Source organism: Homo sapiens, chromosome 1 (assembly GCF_000001405.40).
Source record: "Homo sapiens chromosome 1, GRCh38.p14 Primary Assembly".
NCBI classification, from domain to species: Eukaryota; Metazoa; Chordata; class Mammalia; order Primates; family Hominidae; genus Homo; species Homo sapiens.
This window is the reverse complement of record NC_000001.11, coordinates 157,623,209-157,626,631: the sequence shown is the minus strand read 5'-3', so window position 1 is coordinate 157,626,631 and position 3,423 is coordinate 157,623,209. Positions and strand designations below refer to the sequence as shown.

At 45.3% G+C, this 3,423-nt stretch overlaps 2 annotated features.

The window, feature by feature from the left end:
• Positions 270 to 339: a silencer, noted in NCBI's record as "silent region_1447". NCBI's record gives its function as "represses an Ori minimal core promoter by ATAC-STARR-seq in GM12878 lymphoblastoid cells {active_cell/tissue: GM12878}" and the evidence as "EXISTENCE:reporter gene assay evidence [ECO:0000049][PMID:35858748]".
• Positions 1,460 to 2,659: an enhancer, noted in NCBI's record as "BRD4-independent group 4 enhancer chr1:157593763-157594962 (GRCh37/hg19 assembly coordinates)". NCBI's record gives its function as "activates an origin of replication core promoter dependent on BRD2, P300/CBP, MED14 and CDK7 cofactors, and independent of BRD4, by STARR-seq in HCT116 cells {active_cell/tissue: HCT116}" and the evidence as "EXISTENCE:reporter gene assay evidence [ECO:0000049][PMID:35650434]".

Genomic DNA, 3,423 nt, shown 5'->3' with positions numbered 1-3,423 from the left:
CTTCAGGCAGAGGTTAGAACCCTACTGAGAATGCAGAACTCAGTGTTCACCTTTTGACTGCCAAAATGGGCAAGAACTAAATTTTATTGATAGAAAAAAAAATAGATTTGTGTGTTCCAAACCAAAGATTGCAGATTCAGAGGATAGAGTTCTTCCAAGTCACAAAATTAAAAAATGCTAGGTAAGATATGTATATGAGTAATTTTCCACCATCTATATATAATGTTCTGTATCTAAGTAAGCATTGAAGAAATGCCTAAAGTTGAGACTCTGATTATGACTCAGAAGGGACTTGATATCACCATTTCCTAGGACTCAACAGAGGGCGCTGTGGGGCAGAAGGTAACAGAGCAGGCCAGGTGATAGGACCTCCAGATAGGTTGACAGGAAAAACAAAGACGGGGATTAGGTCCCACTTACCTTTGACAAGGGAGGGCAGGGCCTCCTCCCAGGGGGCCCTGTTGAGCAGAAATTGGGGCATGGTATGTTTCAGAAGAACAAGGGCCTCTAGAAGTGCTACAAGTTCTCCTCAGCTTGTGCATGATGCTGGGAGATTCTGCAGTTCTCTTGGGCCTCCATAGAGAAATGAATTACTGAGAGGGGTCCTGAGCCAGAAGAAGCCTGAGCTCAAATAAGGAATATCAGAGAGCATGAACCTCATTACAAAGGCTGTGGCAGGAACCACAGGTGTCAGCAGCACCTGCCCACCCCAGCCCCAGCCAAGCAGGACCAGTCCCATCAGCAGCAGATGTGGAGAGTGATACCCAAAGACCAGGATAAAATTCCCTGCAAACACCTACAAAGGTGAAGAAGAGCCAAAAGATGGACCTCCTTCCCCCAACTCCATGAGGACAGGCAGGGAGAAGCAGTAAAGAGGATGGAGATGAAAGAGATGGGAAAGGCTTTCCTGAGTAGTTCTACGTGGTCATCAGTTGGTTCTCTGGGCTTGATAGTGTGCAGGCTAATTCTTTCTCCCCCAGGGCATTTTCATAGCTTCCCTGGATAGATAGCCTTTTTCACCCATGCTGCAAATCTGTCACCTACTTTGTCATTCACAATGCACTCTCAGTGTGACCACTGATGACTCTCTCTTTGGCCCCTGTTTCCCAGCTGGTCCGTTTTCATACAGACTTTCCCTACTAGGGTTCTATTGCTCCTTCAAGTGACCCTCTTGACAAATTCTTTTAAGGTCCCGTGTCCAGCAGATGAAAAGCAGTTTCATTTGACTCCTCAATTTGGATGCAGTTTCCCCACTGGTAGTCCTGACTCTGCGGCCATAGGCTCAGATGTGAGTCAAGCACCTGTCCAGTGCATCCCCAAGCTGCAGGGGACACACATCAAGTTCTCTGAATGGTCTTATTGATGCCACTCTCACCAGGCTTGAGGTGAAGGGTAGGTACCCATGGGGTGTGGAGGGGACCCATAGCAGAGCTCTTTCCAAAGAACTTTTTTTCCCATGATCACCAAATCCTAAGTTTTTATGCCTTCAATATAAATGAGAGCTTAAGAGTCTCAAACCCAGTTTTCAGAACTAGCTTTGCAAATTCTTCAGTGGAAGGCATTTTCCCAAGAGGTTTTATTGTACCCTCCAAGTTCTCTGAGGATTGTAAAGGATCTGATGAGGCATTTGAAGGGCAATGAATGTGGATTCAGCTGCGTGTAGTACAGGCAGGGGACACAGAAGTGGTGGAGGAAGCTACAAGACTTTGGCTGTTACACCTTCTCTAAATCTGGGGTTCTGTATCACTTTCTCAGGATATGACTTTGGGCAAACTATTTTACTTCTTCAAATCTTGGTTTCTTTGGCTGTGAAATATCTTGCCTGCTCATCAAGGTGCTCTGAAACTAAGTTAGATAATCAATGAAGAACATGCCTTAGAATTATAATAATTATTATTTTATTTCCTCCTTCCCAGAGTCTGTGCCCCTCCCCCAGATCCTGGCTGAGTCATCATCCATTACACCAGGCTGGTGCAACATCACCATGGAGTGAAGGGTTCCAGGGACCACAGATGACCTGAACGTGACCTGAGAGAGCCAGGGCCTCCCCAGGAGCTGGAGCAGATAGGGACACTAGGACCAGCCTCCAACCCATGGATTCTGGCTGTGAGCCTGCCCCCGAGCCAGTTCAATGCCAGCCTCACTTGTGTGGTCAGCAACTACGTGGACCAGAAAACTGCCACCAAAAACCTTGGGGAAGTATGTTGGGCTCAAAAATGTGCCAAGCAAGGTGAATATACTCAGCTTAGAAGACACTTCTTTTCCTGGAGACTGGGGGAAGGGGAGTTGTGCTGACCATCTCATGCCAACCTTGCCACCTCTCGACAATAAATGCCAGCTGGGAAGACCCACCAATAGTAAAAATTTGCATATGCCCCAGGAAACTACCCGGGGAAGGAATGGAATCAGGGGTTTTAGGAAGAGAAAAGAGCAGCTATACTAGGCACTTACCTCTGCTTTGCTCTGAATCCTACTTGAACAGCCACTGAGTGTGTGAGGAGTCATATTTGTAGCAAGTGATTTCAACCGGGAAACATGAAGAAATTACAGAAAGGCAAGTTTTAACTCATAATATTAGAGAAGATCTTTATGTGGTCAGAGTCATACAAAAATGGAATGGAAGCCTTAGGACACACTGAGGTCCCTGTCATTGGTGGGGCATAAGCACGGCCATGGCCATTTGATAGGGGTGTTATAAGTGCAGAAGGGGGCAGGACTTTATGGTAAGTTTCCTTCCAACAGCACATTCTTAGATTCTAGGTAACTCTCTTTGACAAAAATCACATAGACTTATTCCCAGCCACAAACTGTCAGGTGGAGCAGAGTGCCTGGTACTGAGCCAGTCCCCTGCAGGAAGCATGGCAGCCCCAGGACCCAGTTACCCAGCGGCCTCTCTCTCCCTGCTCTGTGTCTGACCCAACAGGGACTGGAACTTCACTCTTATTCCCATTACTGTGGACGATGCTTGCAAAAGGCCTTGTGCTCCTCGGGCTCCTTGGGAAGTTGGAAGTCTAACACCAGGAAAGAGTTTCCAGCAGAAGGGGAGTAAGAACTACCCAAGCAGCCTTGACAACTGGATGGGACTTTATTCCTTGTTCATCAAGTTTTCTGAACCACAAATGAAAGCTTTCTATCTTCTGCCAAGATATACATTGTATTTGTTATTACAAAAATGATCTATTCATTACAAGTTTGAGTGAATCCACTGTCAGTAGGATTTGGTCCTTACGTGCTTGAAAGAGGAAAGACTAATATAAGTTTTACAATATTTCCTGTGTTGGTTTTTTGAGGTTTATACACACATGTAAATCAATTTAAATAATGTATGTTTTTCTAGAAATTGTTCATTTAGTGAGCATTTTACACTAAATAGATGTTAATTGTATATTATATCTCTTAGAGTTTGTTCTTGGTGTTGTTTGG